The sequence below is a fragment of the Homo sapiens genome, chromosome X (assembly GCF_000001405.40).
Source record: "Homo sapiens chromosome X, GRCh38.p14 Primary Assembly".
NCBI classification, from domain to species: Eukaryota; Metazoa; Chordata; class Mammalia; order Primates; family Hominidae; genus Homo; species Homo sapiens.
In genome coordinates, this window is record NC_000023.11 from 46,970,352 (window position 1) to 46,986,866 (window position 16,515).

General features: G+C 40.6%; 1 protein-coding gene across 2 annotated transcripts in view; it reads left to right on the forward strand.

The window, feature by feature from the left end:
* Window positions 1-16,515, forward strand: part of JADE3 (jade family PHD finger 3) — a 148,942-nt gene that overhangs the window by 58,051 nt on the left and 74,376 nt on the right. For both annotated transcript variants that reach the window (NM_001077445.3, NM_014735.5), the window contains exons 2-3: window positions 14,533-14,589; window positions 15,362-15,441. In NM_001077445.3, the coding sequence (NP_001070913.1) occupies window positions 14,544-14,589; window positions 15,362-15,441 (126 nt within the window). In that variant the 5' untranslated portion in view covers window positions 14,533-14,543. The remainder of the gene's footprint in view (window positions 1-14,532; window positions 14,590-15,361; window positions 15,442-16,515) is intronic.

Below are 16,515 nucleotides of genomic sequence, written 5' to 3' on the forward strand. Positions count from 1 at the left end.
GCCATGGGCATTGATCTGACCAGAGGTGAGGGTTTAACAGTAACCCTCCTTCATGTCACACCCATATCCTATTTGATTGATCTTGGGATTAACTCAAACCCCCCTCTAATTGGTTTGTCACACATCATTGGTTAACAGTTTTAGGCTGTGATCACCCAAGCCACAGTGTTTGGTGCACCTGGTCCTGTGACCCTGGCTCTGTGGGAGCCAAAGGACTTGGTTTCTCAGTTTTTTCCTTGTCTGTCCTCTTTCTGGTGGCCAGTACAGTGCCTGCCCTCTGTTAGCACAGTATTAAAAGTTGGTGTGCAGTGGATTTGAACTTGCTCAGTAAGTTTGGGGTCATTTCTGTGTGTTTAACCTTATATGTGAGGTTTACATGCCTCACATATAAGGCATGTTACGTTGTTACGAAAACCTGGGATAAAGGTTGTTTTTCCTTCTAATAAATTGGGATGATTACTTTAAATCACATGAACGTTATTGTAAATGTATAATGGGTACATGTGGGTAAAAATTTCAGTGTGGAAACAACTCACAGCAGCAGATAAAACAATGGGAAATCGTTTTTTTAAATCGTTTGAGTTTCTATCTGGAGAAAGAATTGTGTATTTCATAGTAAAAGCATCTCTTATTGATTTACTTTACTCTTAAGAGGTCTTATCTGCAAATGGTATTTTATCTTAAAGGGACTTGTTTTGTACATGTATATATCTTTTTATTCTTAAGATACCAAGTTGACTTATCTGGGTAGTTGAAATTTTTTTTTTTTTTTTTTTTTTTTGAAACGGAGTTTCACTATTGTTGCCCAGGCTGGAGTGCAATGGCGCGATCTCGGCTCACTGCAACCTCTGCCTCCTGGGTTCAAGCAATTCTCCAGCCTCAGCCTCCCGAGTAAGTGGGATTACAGGCGACTGCCACCATGCCCAGCTAATTTTTGTATTTTTAGTAGAGACGGGGTTTCACCATGTTGGCCAGGCTGGTCTGAAACTCCTGACCTCAAGTGATCCGCCTGCCTCGGCCTCCCAACGTGCTGGGATTACAGGCGTAAGCCCCCGTGCCCAGCTGAAATTTTTGAATATATGTACATAAATTAAGAAAATGTACTGCAAAATTTTTAAAAGTTATTGGAACTGGGGGCCTTTTCTTCAAAAGACATAAAGCAGGCCGGGCACAGTGGCTCACGCCTGTAATCCCAGCACTTTGGAAGGCTGAGGCGGGCAGATCACGAGGTCAGGAGATCGAGACCATCCTGGCTAACACGGTGAAACCCTGTCTCTACTAAAAAATACAAAAAATTAGCCGGGCGTGGTGGCGGGCGCCTGTAGTCCCAGCTACTTGGGAGGCTGAGGCAGGAGAATGGCGTGAACCTGGGAGGCGGAGCTTGCAGTGAGCTGAGATTGCGCTACTGCACTCCAGCCTGGGCGACAGAGCGAGACTCCGTCTAAAAAAAAAAAAAAAAGACATAAAGCAGATTTTAATTTAGAAAGGGCTAGCACCATTAAAATCTGTCAAGATAACATTATAGAGTTGACCACCGAGTGAGGTCTATAGCAGCCAAACAGTGAGCTGAGAAATTAGGGATTGGGGTGGGGAGTGTTAGGAGAGTGATAATTCAATTGTATTCTTCAAATTTTCAATGTTCTTTCTTTCAGTAAACATTTTTTTTAGTTTAGACCGGAGGTTGACAAATCAGCGTGTGAGCTAAATCTAGCTTGTCACTTATTTTGATATGGCCTACAAGCATACAGAATGGTTTTTACATTTTTAAATCATTGAAAAATAATGAAAGGAAGAATAATATTTCATAACACATGAAAATTATATGAAATTCAAATAGTATAATAAAGTTTTTTTTTCTTTTTTGAGACAGAGTCTCACTCTGTTGCCCAGGCTGGAGTGCAGTGCATGATCTTGGCTCACTGCGACCTCCACCTCCTGGGTTCAAGCAATTCTCATGCCTCAGCTTCCTGAATAGCTGGGATTATAGGCATTCACCACCACGCCTGGCTAATTTTTGTATTTTAAGTAGAGATGTGGTTTTGCCGTGTTGTCCAGGCTGATCTCGAACTCCTGACCTCAGGTTATCTGTCTGCCTCGGCCTCCCAAAATGCTGGGATTACAGGCGTGAGCCACTGCACCCGGCCACAAGTTTTGATATGCTGTATTTTCATCTACATTCAGGCATTCAAGTCACTGTATTGAGAGAAGTGTGATGTTTAGTTTCCAAGTGTTTGGAGAACTTGTAGTCTTTCTGTTTTTTTCTTTTTTGAGACAGTCTCACTCTGTCGCCCAGGCTGGAGTGCAGTGGCACGATCTCGGCTCACTGCAATCTCCGCCTCCCAGGTTAAAGCATTTCTTGTGCCTCAGCCTCCCGAGCAGCTGGGATTACAGGCATGTGCCCCCATGCCTGGCTAATTTTTGTATTTTTAGTAGAGAGGGGATTTCACCATGTTGGCCAGGCTGGTCTCAAACCCCTGATCTCAGGTGATCCACTGCCTCAGTGTCCCAAAGTGCTAGGATTATAGGCGTGAGCCACCGCGCCCGGCTGGAATAAAGTTTTATTCCGAAGAGAGTTGTGTTCATTTGTTTATGTACTGTCTATGGCTGCCTTCATGCTACAATGGCAGATTTGAGTAGTTGTGACAGAGACCATGTGGCCCTCAAAGCCAAAGATATTTCCTATCTGGTCCTTTACAGAAAAAGTTGGGTGACCCCTGGTTTAGACACACTTCCCAACCTGGCCTTCTCATGCAAGGTGATTTCTACTCACAGAGTTTGAAATTCCCAAATAATTTGCTAACAAGTCTTTATATTAAAGAGGGTAAGCCTGGTTCCTGGTGACAGAGATAATTGTGGTTGACAAAGAAATACTTGTCTGTGGCAGGAATCTGCCTAGGTAAATTTGTATGTTCTTCCTTTATTTTTCCTTGGATGTTTTTTGAGGGCTTTGGAAAAGAGTTGACCTCCAGACTCCTCATCTGGTCACAAGATTCATGAGTCATATGGTATATCTTAATTTTAAAAAATAAGCTTTGAAATGCTGAGATAAAGTCTTCATTTAGAAAAGTTCATTATCCCAACTTCTGCTATCTCTTTCAAAGATTTGTTAGGGGTGAGGAGAAGCAGTGACATATGTAGAATATGTTCTCTTCTTATTTTTTGTTTATTCAATCTCTAGATAGATGTTTATGGCTTTAATTACTGGACTACTGAGAAGTGGTAGAAATGAAAGATACACAAGATGAACAGATTTGAAGGATAGAGTTTTGTTTCCATGACATTGAAGCAGGGATAGAATTGTTTTGTAGAGAGGGGTGAATTCTGAATTAAAGCACAGGCACTTAAACTGTCTTACTATAGAGGTTAGGATTGTTTGCCCCAAAGCAGAGGATAATCAGCTCAAGAAACACATTTATAGCATTCATGACTTCTATTTAAGAAATAGTTGGCCGGACGTGGTGGCTTATGCCTGTAATCCCAGCACTTTGGGAGGCCGAAGTGGGTGGATCACCTGAGGTCAGGAGTTCGAGACCAGCCTGACCAACATGACAAAACCCCATCTCTACTAAAAATACAAAATTAACCAGGTATGGTGGTGCATGCCTGCAATCCCAGCTACTAGGGAGGCTGAGGCAGGACAATCGCTTGAACCAGGGAGGCGGAGGTTGCAGTGAGCCAAGATTGCGCTATTGCACTCCAGCCTGGGCAACAAGAGCGAAACTCCATCTCAGAAAACAAAACAAAACAAAACAAAACAAAGAAATAGTTTGGGCCGGGTGCAGTAGCTCACGCCTGTAATCCCAGCACTTTGGGAGGCCCAGGCGGGCGGATCATTTGAGGTCAGGAGTTCGAGACCAGCCTGACCAACATGGTGAAACCCCGTCTCTACTAAAAATACAAAAAAATTAGCTGGGTGTGGTGGCGCATGCCTGTAGTCCCAGTCCTCGGGAGGCTGAGACAGGAGAATTGCTTGAACCTGGGAGGCGGAGGTTGCAGTGAGCCAAGATCGCGCCACTGTACTCCAGCTTGGGCGACAGAGTGAGACTCTGTCTCAAAAAAAAAAAGTTTGGGAGGTTCTTTGACCACATGGGCAGGAATTCACCCTTCGGGATATAAGAAACATGCTGCTCTGGTCTGACCAGTGGCTTAACTGAAATGTCTGTCTCTGATAATGGCTCTGAATATTTTCCTGAAAGCCTAAGGGAGCTAGACTTTCAGATGTTTCTTTCCTTAAGGATTACTTCCAAATACCATCACAGATTTATTCTGATTTTTATCTCAGTCCTTCTTGAACTTGTTTACATTTTCATTTTGTTTCACTTCTTGAACTGATGAGTTCTCTAAGTTAGTTCCCTAAGCATGGCTGAAAGTCCTGTTTTCCTTTTGATAAAATTGCCTTTAGGTTTCAGGGAATACCCCTTTGTTATTTAATTCTATAATTGGATGAATAAAATCAAGCTGATCATTTCTACACTCTTCTTAATAGCTCATTGATTTCTGTTTCATCCCTTTAGAGCAAGATTTCTCAGCCTTGGCACTGTTGACATTTTGAGCCAGATAAGTCTGCACATTGTAGGGGACTATTTCTGTGCCTTGTAGGATGTTTAACGGCATCCCTCCTGACCTCTATCCCTAGATGCCAGTAACATCAATTATTGTGATAACCGATAAATGTCTCCAGATATTGCCAAATGTCCCCTGGGGGGGGCAAAATTGTCTTCAGTTAAGAATCACTGCTTAGATCTTTGGCTTTTCCAAAATGCAAAGTCTGTGCGACTGTCTTTATGACACAGAGATGTCTCTGTTTAATTGATTATATTGCACTTTTCTGGATTTCTTTCAGCTCTGGTTAATGTCCATCTTGAATGACAGTGATGGCCACTTTTATAGTTTCAATGTTTCAAGTCAGCTGAATCATTTGGGAGTGACATGGGAACAGATATCTTGAAATCTTAGAAAAGTATTTTTTCCGGTTGTAAACGTCCTATATGTTTACTCTAAAACTGTGGGGAATGGAAAAATTCAGAAAGAATGTTTTTATCAACCAGAAATCTGTCACTTCAGTGCAACTAATGTTAGTAAATTGGTTTATGGTTTTTGCTTTCTATATATTTTATTTCATACATGTATAGTAATTTCACTGTAAAACCAATTTTTATACATTTTAAAACATCTTAGCATAAATGTTTCCCTGTATACCATGTTTAAATGACTGGATGAAATACCATAATATTAATGTACCTTAATTATTCCTCTTTTGTGTGATAGGTCGGTTTTATTTTTATTATAAAGTTTTAATGGACATTTTGGTTCATAAATCATTTTCCGTGTTTCAAATTATTTTTCTTTCTTTTTTCTTTTTCTTTTTTTTTTTTTTTTTTTTTTTGGGACAGAGTCTCGCTCTGTCACCCAGGCTGGTGTGCAGTGGCATGATCTCAGCTCACTGCAACCTCCGCCTCCCAGGTTCAAGCGATTCTCATGCCTCAGCCTCCTGAGTGGCTGGGATTACAGGCACCTGCCACCACACCCAGCTAATTTTTGTATTTTTAGTAGAGACGCGGTTTCACCATGTTGGCCAGGCTGGTCTCGAAGTTATCTGATCCTGGCCTCAAGTGATCTGCCCACCTCGACCTTCCAAAGTTCTGGGATTATAGGCGTGAACCACCGTGCCCAGCCTGTATTAATTTTCAAGGACGAATGTTAGAAATAGAATTCCTAGGTCAAACGGTGTGAATATGTTTAAAGTAGAGCATTATTTTTTAAACTGCTACATGGCCCTGCAGAGGGCAGTGAATAGGGGCCCCTTGCACTGACCATGCATTTCAAAAGTATGTCTCATGGGTATATAGTAGGAAAGGAAAGGGCTATGTTTGAGCTAATCACTTTTCCTTTCCTTGGCCTGCATGTTCTTCCGTGGGAATATTAATGGGGAGTCAAGTAGCCACCAAACCGCAGGCTTAGGTTCCAGTCCCAAATAATCCCAGTTGGGTTGACTTCCAGACAGTCCTCCTTTAAAAGGGTATTTTACTCAAGGAAGACATTTACTCCAGACATTTGTATTTTGCCTGGTTTGCAGTCACTGTTAAACCACTGTGCTGTTAATTATTGTACTTGAGATGATAGTAGGAATAAGATCTGAAAACTGCCATCAAATTACTGTTCCCAGTGGTGCAAGGTGAGGTCTAGTGTACATTTTGTTTCTGCCAAAATGAAGGTAAGGAAGAAAAGAATGCCTTTATAAAGTCTGTGCTCTGATCTGAGGACTAGAAAATAAACAGCTGAATAATATAACCAAGTGTAAGACATCGAGATATATCACAGTTACTCCAGGATTACACTATACTGATTTATGGTTTTGTTTAACAAAACATTTTATTCTAAGGTAATTTTTTTCATGGTACAAATAAATTTATTTGCTTGTTTTATGTTCCTTATTCCTCTTTTCTTCCCAAGAAGTTACTTTGACAATCACAGACCTTATTGGGCCTCTTTCCCTTCTAGTTCTTAAATGAATATTCATGACAGGGACATCACAGAAAACAATTGTTTGCCGTATGCTTTCAGGTGTCATCAAGCATCATGCTCAGCCCCTGGGCTGCTGTGACTTTGAGATCTGCCTGGTCAACTAAAGAGGGCTAGTCCTTCTATGGGGCTTTTCTTTCTTAAAAAAATTTTTTTGACATACAAAAAGCTGTACATAGTTAATATATACAACTAGATGAGTTTGGCTGGGTGTGGTGGCTCACGCCTGCAATCCCAGCACTTTGGGAGGCCAAGGTGGGTGAATCACTTGAGGTCAGGAGTTGGAGACCAGCCTGGCCAGCATGGTGAAACCCCATCTCTACTAAAAATACAAAAACTAGCCAGGTGTGGCAGAGCATGCCTGTAATTCCAGCTACTCAGGGGCTGAGGCATGAGAATCGCCTGAATCCGGGAGGCAGAGGTTGCAGTGAGCTGAGATTGCACCACTGCACTCTAGCCTGGGTGACGGAGTGAGACTCTGTCTCAAAAACAACAACAGCTACTAAATGAGTTTGGAGATAAGTATATACCTATAAACTATCATCACAATCTATGCCATAAACCTATCTATCACCCCCAAAAGTTTCCCTTTGCTCTATTCTTCTGTCGTGGTAAGAACACAATATAAAGGCCTATCCTGTTAGCAAACTTTTAGGTATACAATATAGTATTGTTAACTATAGCACTCTGCTGTACAAAAGATCTCTAGGACTTACCTTAAATTAAGTAGTACATTCTTAAAATTACCACTTAATAAGGATTCACATGTTAAGTAGGGGTGCCTAGAAGCAGAACCTGAGACAGTATTCAAATGCACATGATTTATTGAGGAGTGTTCTCAGGAGAAACCTGTAAGGGGAAGAGGGTAACCGGGTAAGGAAGGAGCAGCCAGTTAGGGTCTTAAGAAAATCTAGCCATAGCCTGTTTGAGGTGATGGCAGAACAATTATTGACTGCAGGCTGCCTCTGGGAGGGAGACTGGAAGAGTGTAATCCCCAGTTCTTGGGAAGAGAGGGGCCATTGTGAGCCATTAGCAGCCAACAAGAAGTAGCTGGAAAATGGGTACAGTATGCTAGCTAGGTAAACAGGATTGGGTGGGGGCAGCACAGTGTGTTATTCCTTTGCCTGTTTATTTTGTGCAGGATACTGTGCTAAGAGCTAGGGGTAAAAAATGAATGTGACACAGTCCCTGCTTTCAAGATGCTTGTGGTCTAGTGACAACAGGGCTGACCATGTAAAGCAGCAGTGTCCAATCTTTTGGCTGCCCTAGGCCACATTGGAAGAATTCTCTTGGGTCACACATAAAATGCACTAACACCTAACGATAGCTGATGAGCTTTAAAGAATCACAAAAAAAATCTCAGTGTTTAAAGAAAGTTTATGAATGTGTGTTTGGTGGCATTCACAGCCGTCCTGTGCCACATGCAGGCTGCGGGTTGGACAAGCTTGATGTAAAGAATATTGATGGTGCAAGTGAGGTGCTTCTTTGCATGTACTTGGATGGAAAGCAAAGGAGTGAATAATTGTGGGGGAGGGACGTCTGGGAAGCTTCATCGAGGACATCCAATGAATGAATAGAACCAGGGTTGGGGAAAATGGGCTGGTCAAGGAAAACATGGGGAGGAATTGTAGGTAGAAGGAAGAGCCCTGTGCAAAGGCTGGCAAGCAAGTATGAAACAAGACGAACGTGTTCCCGGAATCACATGGGGCATAGTATATGCCAAACAATTGGAGTGGATTGGGGGGAACAGCAGTTGATGAGGCCTGAGAGACTGGGAGCCAGAACTGGGCCTCGCAAGCCATGCTGAGGAGATTGGGCTTAGAAGGGGCACCATTCTTGCTGTCATCCCTCCAGCCTGTCCTCTGGCTTCTGGATCAACTTGGAGTGCTCATTGTCAATGTACCTGACTGCCCCCTGGTGGCCATGTTGCTCTAAGCATGTCGCTTTAATGCTTCTGAGCCCCAATTTCCTCATCTGTAAAATGGCTGCTGCTGCTATGTGTAGGACTGTTGTTGTGCTTAGAAATAATAAATAGAGATATAAAGATTTACCATCATTGAATTATTCTGCTGATATTTATTGTTTTCTGTCATTTTCCTACAATAATTAAAACAGCAGTATGTCACAGAAATGGACAGACAAATCACTGGACTTTAAACAGCCCATACCCAAAAATTAACTTGCTTTGTTTTCTTTTCTAAAAGTCATTGATGACTCATTTTCTTATTTCCCAGGACTGGTGTAACTCGTATTAGATAATCTGTTTCCTAGGCTTTTTACTGATAATACAAGATTTTTTGTTTCCATCTATAATAAAAAATAGTTGTTACTGTAATTGTTTTAAAAATGCCAAATTTTGCCTATTCTTTAAAATCTCCCTCTGTCAAGAACAGTTTGATAACTCTTTTACTTAAAGAACAGAATATTATAGAAAATGGAGAAACTGTTTTATCCAAAGTACACATACCCAGAACTTCAGATGAGAGGAGTATCCATCTCACAAGAAGTCTTAGGTCTTCTGAAACTCTCAGGGAGGTGAGGAGAGAGGGTCCATGGTCAGTTGGCTTTCTTCACTGAGATTTTTAGAGAATAAAACTGTTTTTTCTATGACATTTGTTGCCCTTGATCCCATCATGAGTCATCCATATGGAGGTTATATTCAGTGGGAACATAAACTTTCATTTCTCTGGGATAAATGCCCAGGAGTGCAATTGCTGAGTCATAGTTGCATATTTAATTTTTAAAGAAATGACCGAAATATTTTCTAGAATAGCTATACTATTTTACATTCCCACAAGCCATGTACGAGTGATATAGTTTCTCTACACTTTCTCCATGATTTGATATTTTCACTATTTCTTTATTTCAGCTATTGTAATAATAAGTATGTAATAATATCTTGTGGTTTTAACTGGCATTTCCCTAATGGCTGGTGATACTGAATGTCTTTTCACGGGCTTAAATGCCATTTGCGTTCCTCTTTGGTAAAATGTCTGCTGATTTTTTTTTTTTTTTTTTTTTTTTTTGAGACAGAGTCTCGCTGTCACCCAGGCTGGAGTACAGTGATGCAATCTAGGCTCACTGCAACCTCCGCCTCCCAGGTTCAAGCAATTCTCATGCCTCAGCCTCCCGAGTAGCTGGGATTACAGGTGCATGCCACCACACCCAGCTAATTTTTGTATTTTTAGTACAGACGGGGTTTCACCATGTTGGCCAGGCTGGTCTCGAACTCCTGACCTCAAATGATCCGTCCGCCTTAGCCTCCCAAAGTGCTGGGATTACAGGTGCGAGCCACCATGCCCGGCCCATCTCTTGATTTTTAATTAGGTCATTTGTTTCCTTACTGTTGAATTTTTAGAGTTCCTTATGCATTCTGTAATATAAGTTCATTGTCAGATATGTGTTTTATAATAAATATTACATGTATAATATTTCTAAGAAATGACCAAAATATTTTCTAGAATAGCGATTCCTTTTTACATTCCCACCAGCAATGTATGAGTGATAGTTTCTTCACATCTTCTCCAGCATTTGATATTACACGTGTGTGTAATATGTGTAAATATTCTGTCCCATTCTGCTTGCTTTTGCGTCTTCTTAACAGGGGCTTTCTCAGAGCAGAAGTTTTTTTAAAAATATAAGTAGATAGTTTATTTGGGCCAAGTTTGAAGACCACAACCCAGCAGCATAGATTCAAGTTGCCCTGGATATGCTTCTGAGAGCAAAAGTCTTTAATTTTGATGAAAACACATTTTTCTTTGCCAATCATGCTTTAGGTATCAAGTCTGAGAACTCTTTGCTTAGCCCTAGATCCTGAAGACTTTCTCTTATGCTTTTTGTAAATATTTTATAATTTTACATTTTTCATTTAAGTCTGTGATCCATTTTGAGTTACATTTTGTATATTAGGTTGTGGTAGGCAGAGATGTCCGTGTCCTAATCTCTGCAACCTATGAATATGTTAAGATTGCTATTTAGCTGACTATAAAATAGGGACATTATCCTGGATTATCTGGGTGGGTCCAATGTAATTACATGGGTTCTTAAAAGTGGAAGAGGGAAGCAGAACAGAAGGGTCAGAGAATGAGATGCGATGACAGAAACAGGATCAGAGAGATTCAGTGTTGTTTGCCTTGAAGATGGAAGAAGACAGCCAAGATCAAGGGAGTAAGAGTGTCCTCTAAAAGCTGTAATAGGCAAGGAAATGAGTTCTCCCCTGTAGCCTCTAGAAAGGAACGCAGTCCTGATGACATCTTGATTTTAGCTCTGTGAGACCTGTGTCAAAATCCTGACCCACTAAACTATAAGATAGTAAATTTATGTAGTTTTAAGCCACTGAGTTTGTGATAATTTGTTACTGTAACGTTAGAAAACTAATAGGTGTTTTAGAAAAGCTTCTATTAAAATAGGATTTTATACATTTGGGTATACTGTGTATCTGAACAATTTTTATATATGCAACATCCCCATGATATCAGATAAATGAAGTGCTACTCTAAGTAGATCTGTGCATTCAGTGGGGAATAGTTAGAAAATGTATTACTTTTATTTCTGCTTAAATTTCTACATTCATTGTGACTTTAAATTCCCCACTACTACTTTTTAATAGGAAGTGTCTTGTTGTTACTGTTGGTTTTGTTTGCGTTTCAGAAGAGATTTGAATGAAATTTTGCACCAGAGAGCCAAATGTAGCCCCAAAAATTTATGTGATGGGAGGCTCTTTTTTAAAAATATTCAATTGACTTTGACTGTAGGACAAACAGAACCTTAGTTAATGGTTCTGATTCTTGTACTAATTTTATTAGTTTTTTAAATGACAGCTTTGAGATATAATTTGTATACCATGCAGCTTACCCACTTAAAGTATACAATTCAGTTATTTTAATATATTCACAGATATGTGCAACCAATCACCAAAGGACACAATATGTTTTCACACTGTCTTCTAATTTTGTTTCTGAGAAATTAGCTGTTAATTTTATTGGAGTTCTCTTGTAAGTGATGAGTTGTTTTTTTTCCCGGGCTGCTTTCAAGATTTTCTCCTTGTCTTTGGCTTTCAGTAATTTTACTATGAGGAATCTCTTTCTGGATCTCTTTGCATTTATCCTACTTGGAGTTCTTTGAGTTTCCTGAATATGTAAATTAATGTTTTTCAGTAAATTTGGGGAGTTTTTCTAATATTTTTTCTGCTCCTTTCTCATTCACTTTTCCTTTTGGTACTCCCATTATGTATATGTTGATGAACTTAATGATGTTCTACATTTCTCTGAGGCTGTTTCTTCTTCTTTTTTCCATCTGTTCTTCAACTTGCCTAATCACTGTTGACCTACTTCAAGTTCATTAATTCTTTTTTCTGCTTGTTCAATCTACTGTTGAGGCCCTTCAGTGAATTTTTCATTTCAATTGTGCTTTCATCACCAGAATTTCTATTTGGTTATTTTTTATACTTCCTATTTCTTTATTGATAGTCTCTGTTTTGTAAAATATTGTCATCATACCTTCCTTTACTTCTTTAATCATGGTTTTCTTTAGTTCTTCGAACATATTTATATGGCTAATTTGAAGGTTTTGCCTGTTAAATCTGACATGTGGTTGTATGGGTCATACTTTCCTGTTTCTTTGCATATCTCTTAAGTTTTTGTTGGAAACTGGGCATTTTGGATAATATATTGTAACAATTGTGGGTACTACCCCTCCACCAGGGTTCTTTATTATTATTTGCTTGTTTACTGCTTTAGTAACTGCCTGGATTATTTTATTGAAGTCTATTTCCTCAACCCCCATTCTCACCCTGCAGTATGAAGCCTCTAATGTTGCTCTTCGGGGGTACAAGCTTGTGTATGCCCACAGTCACCCTGGGATGACAGTGGGTTTGGTGAGGCTCTCCTTGGCTGTCTCTTTACTTGACCACACCATGCTGTTATGGTCTACTAATTGTTGACTGGTTGCTCTTGTTTTGTTTTTGTTTTTTTGAGATGGAGTTTCACTCTTGTCGCCCAGGCTGGAGTGCAGTGGCGCGATCTCAGCTCACTGCAACCTCCACCTCCCGGGTTCAAGCAGTTCTCCTGACTCAGCCTCCCGAGTAGCTGAGATTACAGGCGCCTGCCACCATTCCCAGCTGCTCTGTTGTTTTAATCATGTCCTGGAATATAAATTGCTCCACAAACTGATCCAATCAAATTAGGGCTCCTTTGAAGATAGTTCCTGAGATCTGTGTTTGAGATTTCTTCTGACCGCAAGAGGCTCTTTCCCTGCTGTCTCTTTCTCTGGTTCTCTCTGGCATATTAGGCAGCCTAGGCTTGAACTTCTGTACACTCAGTTGCAAATGAAGTCAGTTTCATTGCAGGAGAATTGAAGCCCCCTATTCTATGCCCTGCCTCTCTCCCTGGGAAAAATCTTTGAGCCACAGCTCTGGCGCAGTGGATGGAGATAAATGGTGAGCTTCCCTCTGAGTGTCAGCCCCAGGTCTCCCAGGTTTGCCTCTTCTGGTATAGAACCCCCACCCCACAAGGTAACGCCAGAGCAATCAAGGCTCTGGTATTCTTGGTGGCACAACACCCAAGGCATAGCCTCCATCCCATGAGTTGGGGGCTAGGTGGAAGAAGGGAGCCCCCACCTCTCAGCCACATTCTCCTGGAACGTAGCCTCAGCAAAAGTAGCTGGGAACGGGATAAGAGATGCCGACATCCTGTTCTTCCCAGGAAGAAAGGAGCTTGGAGCTGGGGTAGAAGGAACCCTGTGTTCTTGGCTACTGTACTCTGGCATGAGATCTTTGCTGGGAGGGAAGATGGAGGAAGTGGTTCTAGATCCAAATACTGCAGACTTTGACTTTACTTTATGAATTTTAGTAGATTTTCTCGAATAAGTACTTCATTTGCTGTATGCCCTTAAAACCATTTCCAGAGACTTTAAATGGTTGGTTTTTTTTTAATTGAAATAACTTTCACCAATTTTGCTGGGAAGAGGGTCGTCCATGGAGCTGCTCACACTGTTATGCCAGAAGTGGAACTCTGTGAGCTTTTTAATGTAAAATTTTGTTGCTGCTATTCTTAATTGCTCAGAGTGGCCTTGTATTTGGATTTCTACCTCCTCAGTAGATTGTAAATAGCTTGAAGGCAGTAGCCCTGACCTTTATTCATTATGGAATCATGATAGCCCCTGGTAGCATGTTGTATGTTGTGGCACATAAAAGAATGTCAGTCACTGGCTATATTGCTGTCTTTTCAAGTTTACATTTTCAGCACTTCGTTTGTGACTTAAAGTGCTTAACTGTGTCTTCCTTTTTTCTTACACTCCAGTGCTAGTGTGTTCCCAGAAGGGTGATGCTTCTTTTTTATCTGTCATTGGCCATACTCAGGGAAGTACACTTGAACCGTTGGAAGTTTTAGTCCAAAGCATTTTTATTTACCCTTCACAATATAGGAGCTTTGTTTAACATTCCTTGTAGTGTATATATAATTTTGACTTTAGGCTACTTATTTGGGATATGGGGACAGGAAGAGAGTGAGAGAGGGATAAAGGGCAGGCAGAAAATCAGTGTGGTCGTGTTCTTAAAGGTGGATGTGCCTCACTTGTTCTTTCTTCAGCCAACTATGTCTCATGCTTTTCAACCTTGGCTCTTGATGGCCCTGCCCTCATGACTGACCTGTTCGTCTCTTATTGGGGATCACTGGCTGGTTATGGCCCCATGGCTGCCCCACCCTTTGTTTTGGTGGACAGTGGCCATGTGGCCACATCTGAGGCTCCAGTTAGTGCTGTACCACTCATTTGTGGCTTGGGCTTCCTCCTAAGGCTAATGTGGCCTTTCTTAGTCTTTGACATGCTTTGTATTGAAAGATCTGGTAGTACTCTTCTGTCATTATTCTAAGTCATTTGAGAATATTCTTGACAAAAATCATTCAGTTTGTATGATTTGCTTGCTGCTATTTCTGGGATCCATGGGACAGTGTTGACTGCCCTCTGGGATGGGTGTGTGTGAACTGTTTTATTCAGTGTTTTTCTTTTTCCCAGGATGCTCCAGGATGAAACGCCATAGGCCTGTCAGCAGCAGTGACAGTTCAGACGAAAGTGAGTAGAACCGGCTGGCAGCTGGTAACCTTTCTATCTATATCCCTTGAGGATTTTTCCTTTCATTTGAGGATAAACCATTTCATGCTTTTTTCAATGGTTGAAAAATGTTTCTGAGAAGGAAAATTCAGGGCACCATTATCTTATTTAAATTTCATTAGAGATAGATAAATTAGAAGAATTGATTGTGTGTGGCATATAACTTTTCACTTTTCATTTACCTAAATAACAAAAGCCAGATCTAGTAATGCTTTAACAGAGCTTCTCTAGAAAGAAGAAAAGTACAAGAGCATAAATTGTAGGCCCTGATTCTAATTGTAGCTTAGGTACTAAGTGTTTGACTGTGAGTCAATCATCATTTGTAAAAGGCAGTAACCTTATTAGCAATAGCCTTTGGGGAAGTGCTGAAGGATACACAGATTACTTGCTCCACATTTGTAGTTTTTCCAGTTGTTTTTGGAGATACTTTTTCTTCAAGTGGAATATGAATTGTGTTATTGCAGAACATTATGAGGTGTGATTATACCAAATCAGATAATCTCATCCTTAGCATTGTTGAAGCTTTTGCACTGTAGGAGATCATCTATAAATGTCACTAAACTCCATTATGAGGCACTCTTCAGTGCAGTTTGACTGTTTTCTTCAGTGGTATGAGCTCTCTGGTTTCTCCATCATATTTTTCATATTCTCTTGGGTGACATTTAGTTTTATGACATTTAGTTATATTAATAGGTAATGTGTCTCAGTATTTTTTTCTAATTATCTTTCACAGGTCCTTCCACTTCCTTTACTTCTGGCTCAATGTATAGGATCAAGTCAAAAATTCCAAATGAACACAAGAAACCTGCTGAGGTGAGATCGTATTCTCAATTTTTAGACTTAAGCTATAGTTTGGATGCTTGTCTTCCAAAACCTCATGTTGAAATTATATCCCAATGTTGGAGGTGCAGGCCTAATGGGAGATGTTTGGATCATGGGAATATATCCCTCATAAATAGATTAATGCCCTCCCAGAGCAGGGGGGTAAGTGAGTTTTTCACTCCGTTAGTTCCCTTCAGAGCTGGTTGTTACAAAGAGTCTGGCACCTCCTCCCATTCTCTCTTGCTTCGTCTCTGGCCATGTGATCACATATGCTAGCTCTCCTTTGCCTTCCACCATGAGTAGAAGCAGCCTGAGGCCCTTACCAGCTGCCCAGTCTTGAACCTTCCAGCCAGCAGAACCATAAGCTAAATAAACCTCTTTTCTTTATAAATACTTAGCCTCAGGTATTCCTTTATAGCAATACTAAATAAACTAAGACAACTTTTAAAAATATAAATGTCTGCCTCCTAACTATATACCAACAATACCCAGAATCTGAAGATGTGAAGAATAAAGAATGTGTCAGTGGGTAGGCTTGTTTTCTGATGAACTTATTTGTTTTCCAAGAAAGATTTCATTTTCTATCTCCTTTAGGAGAACAATAATCTTCACACTGTGATTTCATTTTGTGATTTCAATCATCTTCACACTGTGATGACACATAGTGCCTGGCTTTAGAATATTCCTCCCCTAACCAGGAAGTCAAAGAGAGCCAGACTAGGGGAACTGGGAAGGACCTAGAGATCTCCTGGCCTATGATTGGGAAAAGCTAAGTTAGCAGGTGAGGAGAGATAGTACAGAAAGGTATAGGTGAGTAGGTTGTAGATGGACTACATTAAAGATCATATGGGTCATGGTCTGTGAAGCTGTGATGGGTCCTTACAGCCTTTGGATCACTGCTGGCCCAGAAAGAGTAGGTCAATCCTTATCAGGCTGGTCATCTTTTCCACAAAGGGCAGCAAAGTGCCAGCGTTCCTCTTGGACTTGATAATGGTTTAGTGGATCCTACAGACTTTCCTCTGTGATAATTAAATGATAAAATGACTTTGTATATCTTCACTTCTA